The sequence below is a fragment of the Homo sapiens genome, chromosome 4 (genome assembly GCF_000001405.40).
Source record: "Homo sapiens chromosome 4, GRCh38.p14 Primary Assembly".
NCBI lineage: Eukaryota > Metazoa > Chordata > Mammalia > Primates > Hominidae > Homo > Homo sapiens.
The window spans coordinates 20,559,382-20,584,074 of record NC_000004.12 but is presented as its reverse complement, the minus strand read 5'-3'; the positions used below and the strand labels follow the sequence as shown (position 1 = coordinate 20,584,074).

At 36.3% G+C, this 24,693-nt stretch overlaps 1 protein-coding gene across 8 annotated transcripts in view; it reads right to left on the bottom strand.

Moving 5' to 3' along the window:
- SLIT2 (slit guidance ligand 2) overlaps window positions 1-24,693 on the bottom strand; it is a 368,657-nt gene that overhangs the window by 36,487 nt on the left and 307,477 nt on the right. For all 8 annotated transcript variants that reach the window (XM_005248211.3, XM_006713986.3, NM_001289135.3 and 5 more), the window contains 3 exons: window positions 16,689-16,813; window positions 16,460-16,557; window positions 15,071-15,210 (listed from right to left, as the gene is read on the bottom strand). In XM_005248211.3, coding sequence (XP_005248268.1) covers window positions 15,071-15,210; window positions 16,460-16,557; window positions 16,689-16,813 — 363 coding nt within the window. The remainder of the gene's footprint in view (window positions 1-15,070; window positions 15,211-16,459; window positions 16,558-16,688; window positions 16,814-24,693) is intronic.

Genomic DNA, 24,693 nt, shown 5'->3' with positions numbered 1-24,693 from the left:
AGTTACCAGAGGGAGTATCACACTTAGCTGTACAAAATAACATTACTTCATTCAGCGGTAAAAATAAAGTGCCAGCATATGTTCAGAGCCCCCTGTGGTACTGATATTGTGAGTATTATTGCACTGAGGAAGAAACCTCAATGCACTTTGATGGTTTTTATGAGAAATAATACCTGGAGTTTGGCCTTACCTTCTGCTTCATTTTAGATCTATGAACCTAACTTTTTTATTTTTATTTTATTTTTATTATTATTATTATTATTTTTGTGATGGAGTCTCATTCTGTCGCCCAGGCTGGAGTGCAGTGGCATGATCTTGGCTCACTGCAACCTCTGCCTCCTGGGTTCAAACGATTCTCCTGTCTCAGCCTCCCCAGTAGCTGGGACTACAGGTGCGCACCACCATGCCCAGCTAAATTTTGTACTTTTAGTAGAGATGAGGTGTCACCATGTTGGCCAGGATGGTCTCATCTCTTGACCCTGTGATCCACCCACCTCAGCCTCCCAAAGTCTTGGGATTACAGGCGTGAGCCACTGTGCCCGGCCTGAACCTAACTGTTTTTAATGCTCCTTCCTTGTTTAACACAAAGGGGCCCTTCCTATTGCCTTCATTTCTACTTCCTTCCTAGTATCTTGTTATCTTTGTGTTTAAATTTGTTACCATACTTACTGAAATAGTTTTAGAACTATTCTACAAAGCTCTTCCCTGATACTTACAGAATGATCTGCCTATAGCTTTTTCAAATAATTAAAACAGCAAATCAGATTTTTAACATCACCATATATTTTGAGTCCCAACTATGAATGGGGACCTCTACCAATGCTAGAAGTATAATGGTAAACAACAACAACAACAACAACAAACTATTCCTATTTCCACAGAGTTTATGTATGAGAGGAGGAGGAGAAAGATATTAATTCAGTAATTTCCCAAGTAAAGTAGTCCCCCTTTATCGGCAGTTTTGTTTTCTGTGGTTTCAGTTCCCCACTGTTAACAGCGGCCAAAACATATTAAATGGAAAATTCCAGAAATAAACAATTCGTAAGTCTTGAATTGCATGAGTTCTGAGTAGCTTGGTGAAATCTTGTTCCATTCTGCTCCATCACACCCAGCACGTAAATTATCTCTATCCAGGGTATCTGGCTGAAGAAGCCTCCTGCCCATCAGTCACTTATGAGCCATCTCAGTTATCAAATCTGTTGTCGTGGTATCACAGTCATCCTGTTCAAGGAAACCTTATTTTACTTAATAATGGCCCCAAAGTGCAAGAGTAGTGATGTTGGTAATTTGGACAAGCCCAAGAGAAACTGTCAAGTGCTTCCTTTAAGTGAAAAGGTAAAAGTTCTTAACTTAATAAGGAAAGAGAGAAAAATTGTACACTGAGGATGCTAAGATCTACCGCAAAAATGAATCTCCTATCTCTGCAAAGTTGTGAACAAGGGAAAAAGAAATTCATACTAGTTTTGCTGTCATACCTCAAACTGCAAAAGTTACAGCCACCATGCATGCTAAGGGCTTACTTGGGATGAAGAGGGATTCAGTGTGTGGGTTGAAAGACATGAACAGAAACATGTTCTGATTGATAGCAACTGGCTTCAGTACTATTTGTGGTTTCAGGCATCTACTGAGGGTCTTGGAACGTATCACCCGCAGATAACGAGGGGACTACTATATGCATAAAATTGCCTCTGTGCTGAATGCTAAGCAGGAACATTTTATGGGGCCCTAGAAAGGGACTGTTTCCTCTGAAGAAGGACAGGAGAGATTCTTCTGAAGAGGTGAGACTCAGAGGCAAGGGTGAAGTGGAGAATGAAGAGCTCTGACAGAGGCTTCTGCAGGAGGCAGCATGAAGAACAGGAGCCCTAAGAGATGGGGAGTGAGCCCGGGAAAACATGGTGCCAGAGGAGCCCCAGAGGCTGGCTGGGCCACAGGGTCGAAGGTCTTCATTCTATGAATAATAGGCTCCCACTGAAAGGTTTTGAGTCGGGGCATGGCCAGATGACATCTGCACTTTGAAAAGAGCACTCTGGCTGGGCACAGTGGCTCACGCCTGTAATCCCAGCACTTTGGGAGGCCAAGGCGAGCAGATCACCTGAGGTCAGGAGTTTGAGACAAGCCTGGCCAAGATGGTGAAACCCCGTCTCTACTAAAAATACAAAAATTAGCCAGGTGTGGTAGTGGGTGCCTATAATCCCAGCTCTTTGGAAGGCTGAGACAGGAGAATTGCTTGAACCCGGGAGGTGGAGGTTGCAGTGAGCAGAGATTGCACCACTGCACTACTCTAGCCTGGGCAATGAAGAGCGAAATTCTGGAAAGAAAGAAAGAGAGAGAAAGAGAGAACTCTGTCTCCAGTGGAGGATGGCAGATTGCATAAGTGGGGATACAAGTGCACATGAGAGGTGACCACTTGTACAGGGTAGGGGTGGGGTGGAGATATACATGGCCCAAAGCAGTGTTTAGGAAGCAAAACAGATGGGACTTTGTGATGGACTGAATAAGCATGGGGGAAAGAGAGAAAGGGAGTTGTCTAGAATGTCTATGATTTGGGTACCTATATTGGGAATTACCTTTTGGTGACATGGAGAACAGTGGAAGAAGACCAGGTTTTCTGGTGCAAACAGAGTTTAAAATACAGTGATGTGGTGTTGAGGATTCAATTGTGCCCCTCAAAACAAAATATGTGTGAGTCCTCTAGTACCCCAGGTTGTGACCTTATTTTGAGATAGAGTTTTTACTGAGGAAATCAAGTTAAAATAAAGTCATTAGGATAGGCCCTAATCCAATATGGCTTGTGTTATCAAAAAGGGAAACCTGGATACCAAGAAAGACAGGCATAGAGGGAAGATGATATGAAAAACAGGGAGAAGCCAACTAGACAGGCCTGGAAGAGACATTTCCCTCACAATCCTTGGCAGGAATCAACACCTTGATTTCAGACCTCTAGCCTCCAGAACTGTAAGACAATAAAACTCTGTTGTTTAAGCCTCCAGTTTGCAGTAATTTGTTATGGCAGCCCTAGCAAAACAATACAGGTAGTAAATTCCAAATCACTGGAAGTTTACAGCGGGGAATAAAACTTTCAACTTATGCCACTATTTCTTCCTTTTTCTTTTTCTTTTTTTCATTTTTACGTCTCTTTCCTCTCATTTTATTTCATGTAGCTGTCCTCTCCTTTGTCTCAAGTTTTCTTTTAGGACTATAAGCTTCTCCAACAGTCAGTCTGTAATAAGCGGTGCACAAAGGAGAAGGAGTGCTCCATGACAAGGCTCCCCGTGCTTCAAGAGAGTCAAGATGTAAGTGGAGCACAGTAGTGTAGATTAGCTCTACATTTGCTGCTGTGGCCAGATGTCTCTCTGCAAAGCACTGTGAGTTGTGCTTGACTTGGACCAATCATCACTTACTCCTCTGTTGGAGGGGAGCTGGTGTTAGCAGTTAGGGCTTGCAGGACAGGCTATCCACCAAATAATAACAACAATTCTCCTCTTCAAGGTCTTAAAGACAGCAAAGGCAAGAGAATCATAGACTACTGTGTCTTGAAGAAGAGAAAGTGAGTCGAATGCCTGTGCCATCAGCTTTATGGTAAGTTTGCAGATGATCTTGAACTTTAACAGCTGCAATTATTAACTACTTATGTGCATACACACACACACACACACACACACACGTATAATATATATATATACTATCATTAAGTATAAAAATAATCCTGAAAGTGTTTTATTACTTTACATTATATCAACCGGGCACAGTGGCTCATGCCTGTAATCCTAGCACTACAGGAGGCCGAGGTGCGTGGATCACCTGAGGTCAACATGGTGAAACCCTGTCTCTACTGAAAATACAAAAAATAACTGGGTATGGTGGTGCGCATCTGTAATCCCAGCTACTTGGGAGGCTGAGGCAAGAGAATCGCTTGAACCTGAGAGGCGGAGGTTGCAGTGAGCTGAGATCATGCCACTGCACTCCAGCCTAGGCCAGACACGGTCTCAAATATATATATATATATATAATATATACATAATATATAATATATACATAATATATATTATATATAATAATATATTATATATGATATATTACATATTAAATATATATATAATATATATTATTTGGAGAATATTTGAGTTGATTTACATTTCCTGTACATACTGTCAAATTTCTTAAATGTACTTTTTCTTTAAAAAATACTGCTTTAACTCATTAAGCATTGTTGAAATTTCTTAACTATAGTAATTTTTTGACAAATGAATGAATAATGAAGATAGTATATGGTCCATGAGAGTTAACAATAAATGTTTCCCGAAATGAGTAAGAATAGTTTAAAAATAAATTTACTGATTATATAATTAGTTTACATGTACTCTCTCAGAGTGAGGTTTTTTTATTTCGCCAACAAAAGCTGCTTTAGTGTAATTTTCATTACACATCTTGGGAGAAATTTTTTGTGCTAGATCTAGCAAATGATTGAAGGATGAGTATGACAAAGCTTTACCCTGGAGAAGTTCCTATATGGAAAATTTAGAGAAATAAGATCAACATCTAATTTCCTACTGTCCGTTAAGTTTCCTTAATGACTGACATATGTGTAGCATCCCGGCCTAGAAACTGGGCTGAATGAAATTTTTATTTTTAATTATTATTAAAAACTATATTATACAGTTCCGAAATACATTATTACCCCAAAGAGATTTGTTCTCTTTGCTAAATAAGCTGTGTTAATTACAGACAGGAAAGTTTTGAAGAATTGTTGGCTGGGCTATTTTTTTTTTTTTTCCCTAGACGGAGTCTTGTTCTGTCACCCAGGCTAAAGTGCAGTGGTGCAATCTCAGCTCAGTGTAACCTCCGCCTCCTGGGTTTGAGTAATCTCCTGCCTCAGCCTCCTGAGTAGCTGGGATTACAGGCACGCACCACCACGCCCAGCTGATTTTTTTTTTTGTATTTTCAGTAGAGACAAGGTTTCACCATATTGGCAAGGCTGGTCTCAAACTCCTGACCTCGTGATCCACCTGCCTCGGCCTCCCAAAGTGCCAGGATTATAGGCATGAGCTACTGTGCCCACCTTGGCTGGACTATTAATTGCTTTCTATCTACCAAGAAATCTGGGCAATGGGATGTCTCATCTAGGCTTATTTAGTCCTCAAAGCCTGCTTATCAAAAAGGTGGAAGCCTGCTTATCAAAAAAGTGGGTCATTTTGTCCCCAGATTAAGATTTCTGAAATTTTCCAACTCAAATCACTGTTAAAAATATTAATTTGTTTTACACTAAATGGATGTTGAGTATCTCTCTTTAATTTTCCCCAAAGTTAGCTTTTTAAATTCAAATTGGGCATGTCTACAACAAAATAATTTTAGATAGCAGTACATGGTGTTGCTGGCACACGTAACTCTTGCTACTGTTGCTACCTTCTGCTAATGTAACTAGATTAGCTTCTTCTCTCTTTGAAATAGATAAAAATCTGAGTCCATTCTGGATATCATAGATGTACGAAAGAGGTGGCGAGGGTACTGGAGCTGATACTGCAGCCCATTTTTATTCCTACTGTAACTTGTAACAAACTGTTTTTTATAAGAAATAATTATTAATATTGATAATAATGAAGGAGAAATTTAGGATGGCAATCTGAATAACTGGACCAGAATTCTAGTGTTAAATGTAATCAGTCAAACTCAAGAAAGATTTGAATAAATGTACTAATTTTATTCTCTTTGAATTAACTCAGCAAGGGAAGATATCAAAATAAGCAACCTAATAGATAAAAAATATGATTTAGTTTCTTAAAAGTACACTACTTGAGGGCATGGGATACCTTTATATTTATATTTTTGTATTTCTCCATTCCCATTGCATTCGCTAGTAAAGTGGCACAAACTAGTGCTGGATAAAAAAATAGGAAAGATAGCACTTATTTGATTGCTTCTTGCAGGCAAATGCTTTTTAAATGTTAATGGAGACCCAGATCACATAAAGAACAATGTAAGGAAGCAAAGAGAGAATTAAAAAACTGATAGCAGATTTGTGTTCTGAGATGTGAGCCCGAGGTGTGCCCTTGCAGGCTGGATGAGATGGGTAGACTGTTCATTTCCAGATTTCCCTACTGTATTTTTATGCCTAACAATTACCATTCCAATGGAGGATGGAGACTATGAGCTCCATTATCAAGAAATTGCACTTGTCAGCACTTAAGTGGAATGTTTGAGGAAGGTTAAGATGAATGGACCTGAATGTTTATCATTACCAAATTTTATAAATTCGATCCAATTCTGATTTTAAAAAGTATACATTTCCCATTTGTTCTTTATTTATAGAAACAGAAACATTCTCTCTACTCCTACAGACCATGCAGTGTGGCAGAGAGACTGATGATCTATAGCACAGGGTGGATATAGCTGATGAGATTATGGGAGTCATCACAGGGCAGCTTCATTAAGTTGGACCTGAAAGAAAAGTATGTATATTTTCTCCTCTTTTGCTAAACCAGGCAGGCCCTATTTGTTACATACTCAAGGTTATAATCCCAGGCACCACAACACAGTAACACAGGCAGATGCCCAGTAAGATACATTAGCCATTAACAGATGTGATCTTTGTGTGCAATAGGTGCAAAATGGGACACGTACATAATCGGAATGCTGCCATAGAGAAACCCTGTGAGATAAAAGTTTATCATAATTCAAAATAGGAAGGTTCAAGAAAATATGCTATAAATGTAGGTGTTAAGACATTTCAAAGAAGGAAAATCAGTTTTCGGTTCCTATTTTTGTTTTCTAAGTGGTATGAAATGAGTTGCTTGACTCTGTCAGGGAGATTGGTCGGTGTCCATATTCAGAAGGAGTGTTTTTCTTTACTTACAAACTAGTAAAGTAGCTATATTATATTATTAATGTTCTTGGAATGTGAGAAGTGATGGTTATGTACTGAGAAATATTTGAACTGATCTGATCTTGCAGTAAAGAATCAAAGCCAAAGAGTTTTTGCTCAGTAGATCAGGGTAATGTCTTATGGATTTTTGTATCACTTTCAATACTTAGCATGGTGTCCTGCATAATATATTTTCTCAATAAGCATCTGGTATATTTTTAAATGAAAAAAAAAAAACTTACCTCTCCAAATAAACAAACAGAAAATGAAGTGTTTTTCAGCATTTCCTTATTGGAACACTGAGGCTAAATAATATAGCCAATTCCAGCAGCTACTGAAACTTCAGAAAATATTTAACTCAGTTTTCAAAATAAATAAATTCAAATTAGATTGAATAAGACTTGCTTAGGCTAAATTGTTGTTCTGGGCTCAATGGGCACTGCCTATTAACTAAAGAGCAAACAAGATCTTTAAAACTTTTTTTTGAGATTAAAGTGCATTTAAGAAAGTTTTGAAAGGTTGGAGGATGAATACAAACCACATAGTATCATTAGGCTGCCAAAGTATTCTCTCTAGTAAAAACAGATGGCAACTTAACGTTTCCCTTATTTGAGGCTCACAAGTGTGTCCGCAACTATAACGACCTTGATATAAAGACCTTACACATCTCGAAGCAGAATTAAAAACAGAAGTCACTGTTACTAAGAGATCATGAAAATCTAAAAATATACACAAAATCTACAAATCCAACTCAGCCAAATCCAAGAGCTCTTCAGCATTGTGTATTTCTTTATGTTTCAAAGTAGTGTATGGGGGCAAAGAGAACCAAAGACCTATCCCTAAATAAAATCTTTCTATACGAAGTGAGCATACAAAGTACAATTAAAAACAATAATAATAAAGACAGACAATACTGAACAATATGGGGAGAGAAATTTCCATTCTATACATAATTTACCTTAGGTAATTTTCTTTATAAAAAATTGAATAAAGAATTCCCATAAGAATTCTTCTGCCATGAGGAATGGCATCAAATATATCTGAACCATGTCACTGTAGTGATGATGGCTGGAATTAAATGATGCAAAATTTAAACCTGTCTTACAGGGCAGCCTTCGATATTTCCAGAGTATAGACATTTACCAATTCAAAGTGTTTTCCGATACATAGTTACATGTTACTCTCAAATGTCTATGTGAATTATATGACAGATATCATTATTCCTCTTTCACAGAAGAAAAATAAAAGACTGGGAGGTGTCCCAGAGTTTATAAATATTCGTGCCAGGAAGAGAAACCCGAACTTTTCCCCTTACCTACACAAACTAACCACCTGCCTTATGGGATAAAAGGTAGCCTAGTTCTCGGGGGGAATTTATTCATTAATTGTACAGGCATTCATTCGGTGCTTTTTTCCTATCTAGATAAAATAGACGGCTTGGCTGCACTTGAATTTTGTGGGTACAGCTTTCCTTACATAAGGACAATTGTGCACAGCGAGCTGAAGAGACAGCAGGAGAGCAGAAGGAAAGCTTGTTTGGCATAAATCATGAATGAGAAATAAGCTATTGTGAGATAGAAAAGAAGCCGTGCCTGGAAGGAGGCAGCAAGGCAGAAGGGACAGGCTCCAGCAGAGGCCCCCACCTCAAAGTGCATGCTTTGGGGCCAATGAGACATGGGTTTGCATCTGGGCCTCTACTTACAAGGTGCATATCCTTGAATAAGTGGTTTATCGTTGTTTCATAGAAGTTTTTTCCCACCTTTGTGTTGTTCACATAAACTGCAGAGTTCTTTTAAATTAACAATGTATCGACTAATGATATACATTCTTTTTATTTAAGACAATTCCCCCAGGTGCTAGAAAAAAATGGAAATTCTATTTCCAATTAAGTTTTGAATTGAAAATATAGAGAATGATTTGACTGCTTTTAAAAGCAAATTCAGTCAGCAGCAAATTCTTGGAAATAAAAGGGAGCTTTTATAAACATAAGCATGAAATTTAGTCAACACATGAAACCACATGGCGATTTAAAACACTTGTACTGCCAAGATTGTTTCTAAGAGTATACACAACAATTTAAGGACATATTCCTGTGATGGAATAATTGCTATTATGTTTCTGAGATAGACTCAGACCTTAGACATCCCTGACCCAGGCCACCAATTGCTTAGTACTTGTAAAGAGAAAAGAAGCCATTTGACCCAGGAAGGTATTAGATGCATTAATCCACAGAGAATAGCACATGTTATACTGTTACATTCTAAAATATGAAACCATTTGTTTTCAACTTAACTCTGCACACTGTAAGAGTAAGTCAGCAAACACAGTAAATCATCCAAACAATGCAACAGAGGAAATGAAGCCCATAGCAAGAGAAGACAGAGAGACCTGCTATATAATAACCTTTGTTTTTTTTTTTTTTTTTTTTTGAAAGCGAGTCTCACTCTCTTGCCCAGGCTGCAGTGCACTGGCACAATCTCGGCTCACTGCAACCTCTGCCTCCTAGGTTCAAGCGATTCTCCTGCTTCAGCCTCCCAAGTGGCTGGGACTACAAGCTTGTGCCGCAACGCCCTGCTCATTTTTGTATTTTTAGTAGAGACAGGGTTTCACCATGTTGCCCAGGCTGGTCTCAAACTCCTGGGCTCAAAGGATCCACCTGCCTCGGCCTCCCAAAATGCTGGGATTGCAGGCGTAAGCCACTGTGCCCAGTCTATAACTTCCTTATTATCCTCATAATCCAACTGCAAATGCTTCAGATACAACTGGAGCTATCAAGACAAGCACACGTTGTGTTCCTTTTAGGACACTGTGCCAGCATTTGGTACTTGAAGACTTTTGGTAAGCTGAATAATTAAAAATCCAATGTAATTAGTTAAAACTCTGAGTCTTTAAGATAACATTTCATAAATATTCCATGATGATTTCCCAGACATGGCTATCACTCTAATAATTCTATGACTCAGGCCAGGTGTGGTGGCTCACACCTGTAATCCCAGCACTTGGGGAGATTGAGGCGGGTGAATCATGAGGTCAGGAGATCGAGACCATCCTGGCTAACACAGTGAAATCCCGTCTCTACTAAAAATACAAAAAATTAGCCAAGCATGGCGGCGGACACCTGTAGTCCCAGCTACTTGGGAGGCTGAGGCAGGAGAATGGCGTGAACCTGGGAGGTGGAGCTTGCAGTGAGCCGAGATTGCGCCACTGCACTCCAGCCTGGGTGACAGAGTGAGACTCCATCTCAATAAATAAATAAATAAATAAATAAATAAATAAAATAATTCTATGACTCACGTTCTTGGGCCCTGATGTATTTTGGGAGCCTGGTGGCCCATATTGACGCCAATAATTAAATATGGCATTTTTATGCTTAAACATACTACCTAGTAGTCACGGTATCCTATAACACAAATTTATAAGTCAACTTCTTGGGCTTTATAATATTTATTTCATAAAGTGTTTCAATAAATGTATACACCTTCAAATATTTTTCATGTTACATGTTACTAAAGATATTTGCTTAAAGTTATGGGAACAGTCTTACTTAAAAATTTTTCTATCTACAGCCTTATCTACAGTACTAAATAACCTATGTTTTTCATTCCAAAAATAATATGTTTGTGATATATTTAAAAAGTGAAAGAATATAGACAAGTAGAAAATTAAAAAAATTTATATTAGTCCCTTATTCTAGCCACCCCTTCTTCCCACTCAAAAAGTTTCTATTCATTGTCTTCTAACAATAGATAAATTGCATTTCAGAGGCCCATTTTATACTGTTTGTCATAGCGATGCATAGATTAAACATCTGAATGACTGATTTGGCATATTGTTTTCAGATTTTATATTTTGTCAACATTCCTTTTTACTGTGTACCCGCAGTGAAATCTATGTAACTTTACAAGAAAGAGGGAGACTAAAATGAAAATCATAATAGACTTAAAAGGCAACTAACCTTTTTCCACCTCATTCAGATTAGCAGCTGGCAGCGACAAAGACAGAAGAGACAAAAGACTTTTTACATTGCAATACAACAGCAGAGCACAGGAAGCCAATGCGCAGCGTTCACAACAGAGAAGCAGGGGTGGGCGAGCAAGCTGAAGCAAGGCTTGGATTTCTTACCTACAGCCGGGCCACACGCACAAACATGGAGAAAATGAGGCAAAAGGTAAATGCCATCACAGGGAGCTAGAGGTCTGCGTCTAAACCAGGTGATGGAACAACCAGCAGTTTTACTGTTTAAGATGGACACTGAATGGCTTGTGCATGGGCGTCAGAGATTCGGAAAACAAAGAGAAAATGGGTACACAATGGAAAATTTAAAGTGGTCTGAATATTTTCCACAAAATGTGTTCTAAGGCTTTACACACCCAATCTGCATGGAGATGTTCACTTTATGGAATTTAAGTAATCCCATTAAGTGAAAGAAGGGCTTAAAATGTGATCAACTGTGTCATACTTGTATGTGGTCCTGTAAGAATAAAAGTTAATTAAGACACACAGTCTTGATACAGCAGATCCAGGGTTCTGACTGTTGGGAAATATACAAAAGCACATTTTTGAATTAAACACCTAAGTTAACACTACAGCCTAAAAAAAGTGTCCATTTTTTAAAAAAACAGGGGTGCCACATTTATAGTTTTTATTTGCATAGGTGTTAGGTTTATGTTATTTCAGGAATTCCTTGGAAATTTAGCTCCAAGAAATGTCTTGTCTTTAGAAAGAAGATGATCATGATTTTAAAAAAATAACCAAACAAAAAATCAAAATCAACAAAATTCTCTCAAGCTACAATTAAAACCTTAAATTTAATTTTAAAATTATTTGTTTAACAATTCTGAAGTCCTACTTTCTTAATAGTATAGGGATGTTAATTTAGATTCATAGTGAATTCAACTTTTCAAAAGTTAATCTTACCTAAAATATACTAGTAATCGGCAGTCATGCATTACACAACTGGAAGCACAGATGATAACTGGAGTATATGGAGAATGGTTTTGGTGACTAGGGTGGTGAAGTTACAGCAATATTTAAATAACAGAAAAACAGTACTTGTCCTTACAATTCATGCTGTCAATCCCTGGAGCAGGAAAGAGCAGAGAATTTTCTCCTCTAACAAATCAGTAACTACTTACTGTGATATTTTGGTCACATAGGGCTTAAACAATGTTTAATAAATTCCCCATTGGTGGCTCATTTTATTTTAAATATTTCTAGTCACGTTTTGTAGTCTGTTCATCACATCATAACTTCTCTGTCAGATTGCTCTCAGATCTCTGAATTTGTTTCCATTGACATAATGTCCGTTCTGACTCTTGACATAGGTGTCAAATACAAAAACTGTCACCATAATAATTTACAAGCTTTTTTTCTGTAAGTCATTATTTGTTCTTATTAAACAGAGTTCACTTCTCATTGTATGCTTTCGGGATATAGAATAAAAAATTTTCAAAGGAAAAATCAACTTGTTACTAGGATGATTTTTAAACACTGACAACACTATTATATTCCCTGAGCATAGCAGGGCTTCTGCTCCCAGATCTCATGCTCATTAATCAGATTCCAAACTCAAATTTAAAACCATATAATCACATTATAAGAAAATTCCTCCTTAACTGCAGACTTGGATGAAGTAGGATATAAAACTCTAGAGCCTCATTCATACTTCCCCATAATTAAAGGTCACTTATGTGTCAATGATTTCAAAATCCGCAGATGGTTGTTAGAAATTTTGTAAATGAGCTCATTTCATGTGTGCACAAAAATACTACAATTAATAGATGAGTTATACATTTGCCCCATTTAGATACCTTCTCTCATGCCAAATTGTCAAACTCTTCATGGCCCACAAGACCCATTCCAAAGATAAAATGGTCATATCTTCATGTTCTGTACGCCATGCACTTTCTGTTTAGTATTTTTGTTGATTCTTTGCCCAAATTAAGGCAAACTGACATTTGCAATAGTTATAAGTAAAAAGACTAAAACAGTCCCAGTTCTTGTGGAGAGCCAAATGGCTCTTGACAGATACTCATGGCAAGTTCCCAGATGACAGCTTTTATAGATGTCACATTTTGGCTAAAAAATGGTTTGGCTAAGCTTTAGGTATTTATGATATGTTTCAAAGAAAGAGATCTGACATAGTTGGGGAAGTGAGGCTTCATAACACTTCTCCAAGGAAACTGCTCTGAACTGACACTTAGAATAGGAGAAAACATGTGTTCAAGAGGAGCAGGTGTAGGGAGGGAGCTGGGGAAATGAAGGGTGAGCAGGTGAGACAAAGACTCAAAAGAAATGGATAAGAATAAGGAATAGCAAATCTAAAGTCAAAGCAGGAGGACTCCTCCAAACCAACTCAAGAGTCCTCAACCACCTTCTAGAAATTTTATTGTCAAAAAGACACATAAGAACCTGATTGCAGTTGTGCTCCAAAGCCTAGGTTTTCATCAGGAAATATATATATATATATATATATATATATATACATATATATATATATATATTCCTGGTTCTGTGCATTGGTTAGGCAAAGCTTGCTTGAAATGCTTGGGTCCAATTTGTCTGGTGCAGTGACAGTGGCTTGGTTTAAGGAGGCCTCCAAAATTAACTGGGTTCTTAAGCCCTGTCTATAATGATCAGGAAAATGATGGAAAAGAGAATTATTCTATCCTAAGAAGGTACCAGGTAGCAGATTTTAGTGCAAACATCGGGCTTCTTGGAGAAGTCTAAATTAGCCCATCCAATGAAGTTAAATTCTTAGGCAGCTCAAAGGGCTCCAAGTCAAGTTTCTGAGGTGTGATAATATTGGTAATATTAGTGTGAAAATCAAAGCTACATAACATTTACATTCTTTCCAGATACTCTAGAAAGGTGCATGTTGAATATACTTGCTATTCTTTGTTTATGTAAAATATCAAATAATGCTAAAATTCCACCCACTAAGCAGTCGAAGGGCCATAGACAACTACTAGAAGACTTGGTAATACAGCACGTTCAAATTTCTACTGGAAACTTAATATGCTATTACTGCTTTACATGACATTGGGTGCTTTATTGGTGCCAAAAAAATAAAAATTAAAAATAAGACCCTAGAAAAGGCAGCCTTCAGAGTCACTCAAACAGATCTGGGTTGCCAAAACCGAGCCTCATTATTCTACCTAGCATTTTCCCATCAAGAAAGGTACCTAGTAAAGTTCAGTTTGGGTATTCCATAAAAGCTTCCGTTTTAATAATTTTCCAACAAATCCCTGGGAAAATTTAATTATACAGATGTATGTTCATCTTTCATGTTATGAGATGTTAACTCCAGTCACCTGCATTGTAATTTCATCCTTTGATTTTCTCGCTATGTATTAAATTATATGAAAACAGACATAGTAAATGAAATGCACCCAGAAAATGAAAACGGCAACTTTGAGTAGAGTGATCAAAATTACTTCTCCATTTTTTTTCTTACAAATAAAATGTACAACTTTCTTGTTTTTCCTTTGTCAATGTTAAGTAATTTATTAAAGGAAAAAGAGCATATCTATGAAGTTTCTAATTCGGAGCCACAAAAAATAAAAATAAAAAATCAATTCTGACAAAACAGACAAGTCATAAACTTGATGTTGACTTTAGAGCAAATTGGTTTGAATAGGGAGGAAGTTTAGCAATTAATACTCTAATGAGATGTGTCATCCAAAGAAACAAAAGTGTTAGAAAAAAGGTGATAGTCTTATAAGACTATCCAAAGTGCTCAATATCTTCCTGACTTTTATTTTGAGGGACATGGGTTACTAGAGGCAAATACTCACTAGCGAAGACACAAGTATGAAGACAAATGATCTCAAAAGCTTAATTATGTTTTGGCTATTAAATAAATGTCCTCTTTACACACAGGTACTGGGGATTGGTTTGCACAGGGAAAATGGTTTGCACAAAAATGCCATTTAATTGTGGGACTAAAAGCTTTAGCAAAATAGCTTCTTTTATTACTGGATAGCATGGCTTTATAATAGATGCGTATGTTTGAACAGAGATTCCTGGGTCTTTTATTTGGTTAGCTGAAACTATCTTTAAGTCCTTATGTTATTTACATTACATCTGATTTTCAAGACACCTACCATTTATCAAATAAAAAAAGATTTACTAAACATATATAACATAGTTCCAATGATGCTTTCAAACAGATATACTGATGGAAGGCAAAATATTTCCTATTATTTGTACCTGTATACTCAGGTGGGCAAAGGCATGTGTAGTTATTAATGCCATCGACACATGTAGAATTATTTTCACAGTCATTATCTTCACAATCATCAACGTTGACTTCACAATTTTCTCCTTCAAATCCATCAGCACAAATACACCTGAATGCCAGAGGAGAAAAGGCAAAAAACATCTTTTTGTTGCATTTTAAAGTCATGTGGTCTAAATATTGAAAAAAGCATAATTACACTCATCAACCATAGAGCTTTTAACTACCAGAAATTGATTTTTTAAAATGCTTTTAACTGACATGTTGTAAACATCAATTTAAGGTAATATCCACCAAAGCAGAAACCCTTCAAAAAATAAAATTTATGCCGGTTGCAAGAAGGCAAATGGTTCCATGGTCTTAAAAGTCAACAAACCCACTGTATTTGCAGGTCTAAAACACAAGCAGTTTTATTCCACAGCCCTAGATATCTTAATCTTGAGTTGTGCTCTAATAAAATAATTCAGGCTTCTTTGCTCATAAATGAAGAGGAACTGGTTCTGATCTTTAAAATTGCAATATCTACTAACATACTTATAATGTCCTTGATGTTTTGAAAAAAAAAATCCGAAAACAAAATTTTGTCTTCCTTGCAATTACAAAATGTGAATGTTCTCTTTGTCTTAAATACAATCCTTCCTCTGGCATAAAACTATCTTGAGTATGTATCGAATAATTTTTGAGTAAAGTCTAGATGAATAAGAGAGAACTTCATAATAGAATGCAGCAGTGAAGTCTATTTCTTCTAAAAAGTGAAATTCTAACAAGTTTTAGTAGTATATTAGCATTCTTATGTGACATTATTAGTGTCATTTAATAAAGAGCTCCAGTTCATAATTCATGAAGTACATCTGAAGTAATTGTACCATATGATTAAATAACTCCAGATTAAAATCGTTCACAGCAAGTCTGTCTACTTACATTGTGTCTTGGAAATAAATCGTTAATTTTCTGTTTCAGTGGGACCTATATCTTGTCATTACACACTGTCTGTTAAAGCAATAAGCAAAACAACAGATGAATATATGACTAGCAGTAGGGGACTAGTTGGCTATTAATTAGTATAATGGAGCCAATATTAATACTTTGTCTTGCCCTAATCTGACCTGATTAACCATAATGTGCACATGTGTATGTTTGTAAATTAGTTTTGGTTTTGTAGCATCCTGTGCTGAGAATGCTGTAGTGTCTCCATTTATTTTTTATATTGCAATATCTACGAGAGGGACCAATACATATTGCCATTTCTCTCAAATTCTTTGAAAAATACTGTCCTTTGATTTGAAAAGGAAAATGTATGTTGGCTTAGTTATCTTTGCTCCAATACTTCAGACACAGATGGTCATAGACTAATGACCTACCAGAATCCATCTTCTTCTCCTTCCTTTAAGTGGCAAGTTCCTCCATGTTTACATGGGTTACTGATGCAGGCATGAATTGGGACATCACAGTCCTGCCCCTGGAGAAGAAGGGGCAAGTATAGTCGAGTGAAGTAGTTCTTGGCACATACAGAAAGCACAGTAGAATAATAAAGGCACACCAAGAAAAGTTATGCTCTCAAACTGTGACTCTTAAAGTGCTTTTACTTACCTTGAAACCATATGGACAGGTGCATCGGTAAAAGTCAACTGGATCACTATTACATGTGCCATCATTTTTACACGGATTTGATAGGCAGGGGTTACACTTAGCTAGAATATTGACATCCACAGGACCTGAAAATTAATTCAAAAATATAAGCAACTGACGCTCTTCCAGTTTACTTTTAATTACTTGTATGCCTTAATGTAATGGTAAATTTCATATAAAATTATTATTGGTCACATATCTATATGTGTCTCTCATCCATGACAAGCCAGAAATCAGCATCCTCCGATGATGTTCAAGAATGCAACAGGAGGCCTTCTCAATTGGATGTACTGTGAGCCTCTCTGAAGTCAGTGTGGGACTCTGAGTTGGTATCTGATGTTAATGGTGCCAGTGTCACAGAGTCCCCTCATGGGCTGACTAGTTTATGTGGATGTGTTTCTTGGTCATTGTCTGTACTTTAACCTCCTCCTGCTTCATGGACATGCCTATTGTCAGTCCCAGAGAAGACTACGTGTGTGGGTGTGGTGTGGGGTGAGCAAATTTTAGAAATAAGTAGAAATTTAACACTGTAATTAAATACACAATACAATGCACCTGCCCAGGTAACATTGACTCAGTAGTACGACTTTCATATAGGAGATACAAAACAGTGCCACTTTATGCATATAGAAATAAACCAAAAGTGTAACCTTCATTATCATCTCCCTCATTTCCTTTTGATTCGGTTTATTTGTTGGTTCATTTGCACAATATGTGATGGGTGATGTTTCTGTATCTTCCTCTCCAAAAAGAAAACATCTTTGAAACGATCTTTACTTGCAAAATCATGTTTTGGGAGACATCTTTAAAAGACTTCAAGAGCTGTAAGGTCTCGATTAAATGCATATTTAGCCACAGCCATTTTCCTTTGTTCACAAATACTTATTGGACAAATGACTAACAATGTGGAAATTGTACTGTCCTCAATAAAAGTATGTTCCACCTATGATACTTTGTGCATTCTGTGTGAGAGCTCACCACAAGGCCTTTTGGCAAATGTGTCTGAAAAGGACACTGACATCTTTATACATAAAACACATACATTTCTTACTGTCAACATTAATTATATTTCACTCTGTAGTATTTCTCTGTAGTTCTTTATCTTCACTGGAACAAGCAGCAATAATTCTAATTGAACATTTTATCACAAGCAATTTCTAGCAAAGTTATGTGGATAATTACAGAGCAGCTCTGCACCCCCACCGTTACTGCTCTAACCTTCTAAGGTGCCTTCACCAAAAAGCTATATAACTTCTACTCACATAAACTACCTGCATCAAATTATTCTACAGATTACAGCCCACGCTTGCGTTGTTGATCTACTGAAAGAAACTCATGTATGTAAGAGAACATGAATAAATATGGTGGCCACAGAGATTCATTGTATCTCTTCATATCCTTTACCCTGGGAAATACTAGCACATATTCAAGTAACAGTATTGAATTAAAATCCATGAAAATGATAGTGTCCTGTAGTGTTTAGCTTTCCTATCGATTAAAAAACTCTTGAAATGTATCCACATAGAAATTGTTTTTTGTTTGTTTGTTTTTAACCATTAGGAGAAAATTAACTGTTCCTAGGATGACCGTATTAAGGGAAAGAGGTGGTGCTTACTTCTTCTAGTGATGCCTCAGTCACTAGGAGAGACTGTGCCAGTGCTAATGTCCCTTACATTTTGTCTTGGTAACTACAATAACTAAAGGAGTCTCTATATCAAATTACAGCTGGGAAACTGCTGGCATTAATTCTGAAGTAAAGTAAGCTCCATAGAAATTTAATTTCTCTCCGCCCTCCCCAATTTATTTATCAATTAAGGGCAAAAAACTTAGCTGTTCAGCACACTGCAGAAATGAATGGTGACAGTGAAAGCAGTTAGTTAAATTAGCATAATACCTAACAATAAATGGTTTTGAGTTTGCTAAAGTTATATATGAGTCAGCAAGAGGAAAGAAAATAGCTCATTGCTAGCAGATCCCTTAATAGTTTACAGGAAAGAACCTAACTCAGAACAAAGGCGTAGGATGGAACGGTGAAGAACGTATGCCAGCAAAACAGCAAGTCAGCAAATGCAACGACTATAAGCATTTATCTGGCCACATCCCACGGCCTCGAGAAAAAATGTCTTTTGGCCTGTTACTGTGCTTTCAACCTTGTAAGGCTGTGGTTTAAATAAAAGGAGTTTGGGGTTGGCAGTTTGTAAGTTCATCCTGTGGAATGTGACATGTTCCAAAAATTATGTTTGAGTAATTAGATGAGAAATTAAAGAGATTGTCTTAGGGAAGAAAATGGAATACACTTTGAAGAATTTAATCGAGTATACTGGCAGCATCATTGCCTGGCTGAAGTAGTTCATGTTCATTTTACCACGTAGTGGGGATTTATTTAATAAATGTCCACCGGACCATATCTGATTAATAATCACTATCTAATTTCTTTGCATTTTATTCCAGACCAAATTTGGTTTTCCACAGCGATAATTATGCTGAATTATTTTCATATCTGGAATTTGTTATGGGAGATTGTTGCCTCCTCATATATGTTCAGTTTAGCTAAAAAAAAAAAATCAAGATAACAAGCATTCTCATACACTCAGGACTCTTTTAACAATTTCTTAAACCTGCTGAACTGATTGTGGCATAGGGTTTGGGAATATAGCAAAATACTGAGTTCCAACTTCTTCAGGTTGGTAAAGCTCATGACTACCAACTTTACCAAAATGGTAAAGTTAGCTATCATTCTATTTGCTTCTTGTTTTTCATATCTTTTAAAACCCAGTTATTCAACAATCATTTCTTATTTCTAGCACTTGAGTTTGAGTGAAGGGTAATACAAAAGATGTTTGTAAGTCAAACAAATTCCACATAGCAGCCTCCTCTCATATCTCTAAAGGTCTAAATATGATATAATTTCTTTTCCTATTTTATGTAGCTTGTAATTCTCCTTAACCAAAAATCCTTTTCAGAATGTGATTTTTACATCTACCTGGTTTATCTAAATCCACTTGTTTCTATAGTCTAATCTCTTGAAATAATATTCTTTGCATCTGGCTCTCCTCCCATTCATCTCCCTGTCCATATTTTGCCCTTCTAAGTCCATCTTCTGTCTTCTGTTTGCATTCAACTTGTGATTCATTTTCTATCCACTACACTTTCTCAGAGCACCTCTCCTGAAATCTTCTTAATCAAGGAGAATGACAACTTTAATCTGTTTATACAATAAGGAGATAATATCAGAGCTAAAAAGAGATGCCAAATAAAGTCATAAAATGAGGGAAGAAGCACACCTCTCCACGAGCAAGCCAACACTTGGCAGAATTTTCCACACTTGATCAGTCCTAGGTGAAAAGATGTCCATAATATGTAGCAATCTTGGGCATAGGATCTGAAATCCACCAACCCAAGTTAAACCCAGATTTACTACTTAAGTGTGTGGTATTAGGATAATGGCAGCCATTCCAATAGGTTGTTTTAAGATGTCAATGAATGTCAAGGAGGGAACCTAGTGAGATCAAATACAAAATTACGGCAAGTACTGACACTCTTTCTTAGACTTCCAGAGAGTTGGAATAGGTAGGAGGAACAAAAAGTGTTTTATTTAAAAGGAGAAAAGCAGTCATTTTCTTGTTTGTCCAAATTTCAACACAGACAAAGGCAAATTAGATCTTGCTGTTTATCTATTCATCACAGTCTCCCTGAGAGCCTTCTATATATGCTAGGAGCTGCTCAAATTTGGGGAAACTACAGGGACTATTAGGAAACCCATGGGAAATAGAAGTGGGCACCGGGTACAACACTGAGAGTTAATGACTTTAAGCTGTTAGGGAAAGCAACTGTGATTTACAAATTAGGTGTGGACAAGCACCAGAAATAATAGTACACCTTTAAGAAACAGAAGAGGTTCTCTTTGTTCTTTCATTGCTGCTTGGTAAAGAACTGCAATCTTTAAGCTTTTCTCCTTTCTAAAGCTAACTGGTTCCAAGAAATGTTAACATATTATTAACAAATTAGCTTTCATGAGATGTGTGCCACGGAGGGGAAAGGAAACGTAGCTTCAGGGATAAAGATCTTTACTAACATCACTAAAATGAAGGAGAACAGTCGAGGTGAACTGGATTGATTTAAGATTTGGTTTTGATTAAGAGAGCACTATAGCATTAGCTATATGGGTGGAGGTGTGGTTAGCTTAATAATTCAAAGAGAAAATGAGAAGAAAGTTTGGTTAACAATCTGTCTCTGTCAGTTACTTTAATCTTTAATGGAAGAACTGTTGGACCTCGATTCCATTAAAGCCTGTAGGCAGACTAGCTTACTTGACTAAAATCACTAGTTACGCACCTGACACCACTATTGCTACCCAGTGAGTACTGTATCTCATTTTGATTTATTACCAAAAGCTCCAGACAAAAACTTCTAGCTATATTCTAGAATCTGCCTTCATTCTGGCATCCCTTGGAAACATGGGTCAAATAACAAAATCCTCTAGCACTGCCCTTCTATCAAGCCAGAGGTACATCAAAGGCAACTCAGGAAAACATCCTGGGGATATTTGATGTTGGGTATAATTAACTAAAAGAAGGTTTTTATTTAAAACCAATGCTTTTACGCTCCACTTGCAATTACATTATGGCATTTCTCAAGTTTTATTAATAATACCAAATGCATATTTGTTAACAACATTCCATCATTAATTTATCAAATATTTACTGAGCATCTACATTGTGCCAGGGACTAGGCCAGATTTTCAGAGACCAAAGACAAGTGAAATGCCTGAATTTCTGAAAAAACTTACAGTTTAGCAGGAGAGACATACATGTATCAATTAGAGAGTGGATGTGGGGAATGAGAATGCATGTCTTAGAATATGTGTTTCAAGTTTCTGCAAGCCATCAAGGGAGAAGAATCCACTAAGTGAATGGAAATATGAATGTGAAGTTCTTAAGAAAAGCCATGGCTAGAAATTTAAAGGCATGGATTGAAATCTACTGAGAATTTGATAGGGCTAAAGATAGAATGCTACATGTCTACATGAAAAAGTGGGTGAAAAAATAAAAGGAATGAGGAAGCCAAGAGATTGTAGAGGAAGGAGAAGTGGCCACCAATGTCGAAGATGTAAAGACAGCAAATAAAGATAAGTAAAAAGAAGCCACTAAATTGGCAAGATAGAAGATACTGGTGTTCTAGTTTCAGTGGAGGGGTGGAGATGATCTCCAGATGACAGAGGTTAAAATCCTGTAAATTTGCATTGTAAAAATCGTTAGCTAAAAACACAAAGGCTAAATTACTACACCTTTTGGATTACCAGGCTTGGCCATTCGCAACACCTACATGTGACTTTGGGCCACTAAATGAACTTCCTGAGCCAAAATTACATGGAAAGGGCAATAATTATTTTATAAAATCTTTGCATTGGAGAGAATATGGATGTAAAACATATAAGAACAGAGCATTAATTGCTAGTTCTCTTTACCTATTAAAATAAATATCTGTTAAGTTTTTCCCAGTGTTTTAAGTTTTAAAAAGTATAATAAAAGAGCCCCCCCTTTTTTAAATGGTACGTTTAGCATACTACCATATCCAAACCTGAATGTTCTCTTTAGCCAATAAGCAAATCAAAACCTCCAAAATCTAAGGTAATTTCCAAGATACAACTATGTACTAGTAATACTAAATCTGAAAATGTAAAAAAGATTTGACCAAGTTCTAAATAATGCTTCAAAACTGATCTAACTGATCAGTTTTGAATAATTATTATTCTAAATAATGCTTCAAAACTGATCTAAATAATGCTTCAAAACTGAATTTTTCATTGCTTTAGGTTGGGCTCAATTATTTAATCACCTTCATGCTTAATTCAACGACTAACGACAATATCAATAATTTTAAGACACAGAACAAAAGCTCCCACTCAAGCCTATCAAAAACTCGTCCAAAATGGAAAACATCAACTTGCTAAGAAAAACAATAATATTACAATGTTATTGCTGAGAATTGTGAAGTTTTTCACAGGAATTCCAGAATCTAGAGGATTCCTAACATATAAAATTAGAGGAAGAGATCAACCACAGCATGCTAAATGTTGATTATCATGGGTTATGCCAATGTTTCAGGTTTCTTTGATCCTTCAGCTGGCCTTTACAAATGAAGTAATGAGGTACATTCAGCATCGTATCCTGGCCTTTCTTTTGAGCTCATGGCTACCAGACCCCTCCCCTTTTGGGCCTCCTCCCCTCTTTGTGTTATACTCCATTTGATTCAAAAGAAGAATTTCCTGTTGGCCTCTTGGACCTGACAGTATCAGTTACAATTCCATAGTCATCTGGTATAGATATATTATTAGCATCTTACACATATTTCTATCACCAGACTTCCATACCATTTTTTAGAATTATCTATTTAAAAGTATCTATCAGTAGAGTATCAGGTCCATGAGGACAGAGGTTTTACTCTGAATTGTTTATTGTTGTATTCTTATCACCTAGACACAGTGCCTTGAACATTGTACGAACTTGAATAATATTTGTTTAATTAATGAATAAACATATCATTCATCTCCATGAGTCTGTTCACTCTTCAGCACATGTAAGTCATCTCCATTAGATTGTTCACTCATTAGCATATGTAATTATTTAATAAATGTCTTTCAAATAAAAAAATAATTTAGTTGCCTCCATAGCTAAAACTTCCTGAACCAAGAGAAATAAAGGGAATATTAGAAATTAACAATGTTCCACTTTCCACACTGACTTTCTCAATGACTATCTGGAGAGGACAAAAACTGTTTTATTGCAGACTGCTTAATCACTCTAACGTCATCTTATATTTAAAAGATGAGGTCAGGACATTTGGGTTATAAAGACAAGTCATGGCCATCTGCTTCCCACTCAGGGATGCTCTATCTGGGTATTAATTAAATATGATCTGATAATCAATTTCTTCCTGTTCATTTATTTCTGTTATGCATCAAAATGATGAGAGTTTACCATAAAGAAAACACTTTTGTCTTTATTAAAATAGTTAATGACTCAAAATAACAGCATGGCATCCTTTAGCAGAAAAAAACATTTAAATTGTATTTAAATATAGCTATGTAAACATGCATTCAATTAAAAATATTTGTCTTCCTGCTATATTTTGAAATTATACATTGACAAACCTTAATATTGAGAGTTTGTACTTACATAATTTTCATGAATAAAATAAAAATACATTAGACTGGCATAACTAGAGGGAAAGTTAAGTTAAAATATGTAAACCTCAATTATAAAACATTTAAAGAAACATGACTTTGCTGCTTTAAAACTCAAAAAGCATATATGCTTAATAGTATAGTACTCAGTGGATTTCCTTGAATGAATTATTTTAATTAATAGATTAAAATACTTGGCCTTCTACCAATCCATTTTTACAAGTAAATATTTCTAGTAAAGCTTTTGAGGGTAGTTCAGAATTTTCATTTTCTAAGTATGTTTCAATAATAGGGTGGCAATCTTATTTACACTGAAAATTTATTTTGAAAATACTTTTATTAAAAACTTTAAAATAAACTTAAGCAGTAAGCTTTGGAATCAGAGTCAAGGTTCAAATTCTGACTCCAGTCGGCAGCTGAGTGATTTTTAAAAATTGCTTAATAACTCTAAAATACAATATTTTCATATCTCAAATGGGGAAATGATAGTTTTCACTATAAGAATGGCGGAAAGATTAAAAGAGATAAAAATCTATGTAAAGTACTCAGCATTAGGTAAACTATTCAATAGAACTTAGCTATTATTGTTATTATTATTTGTAGTGGTAGTAGTATTGGCAACTATCCAGTCTAAACTGTCATAAACCTTGAACTAGCAGAGTCTTCATTAATAGGACAATGAAACTTCAAAATAGCTTGACAAATGCTGAGACAAATGCTGGCAAAGGGCACTGTAAGTTTCAGTGCCTATCACTCTAAAATTCAGTTACAGAAAAACTG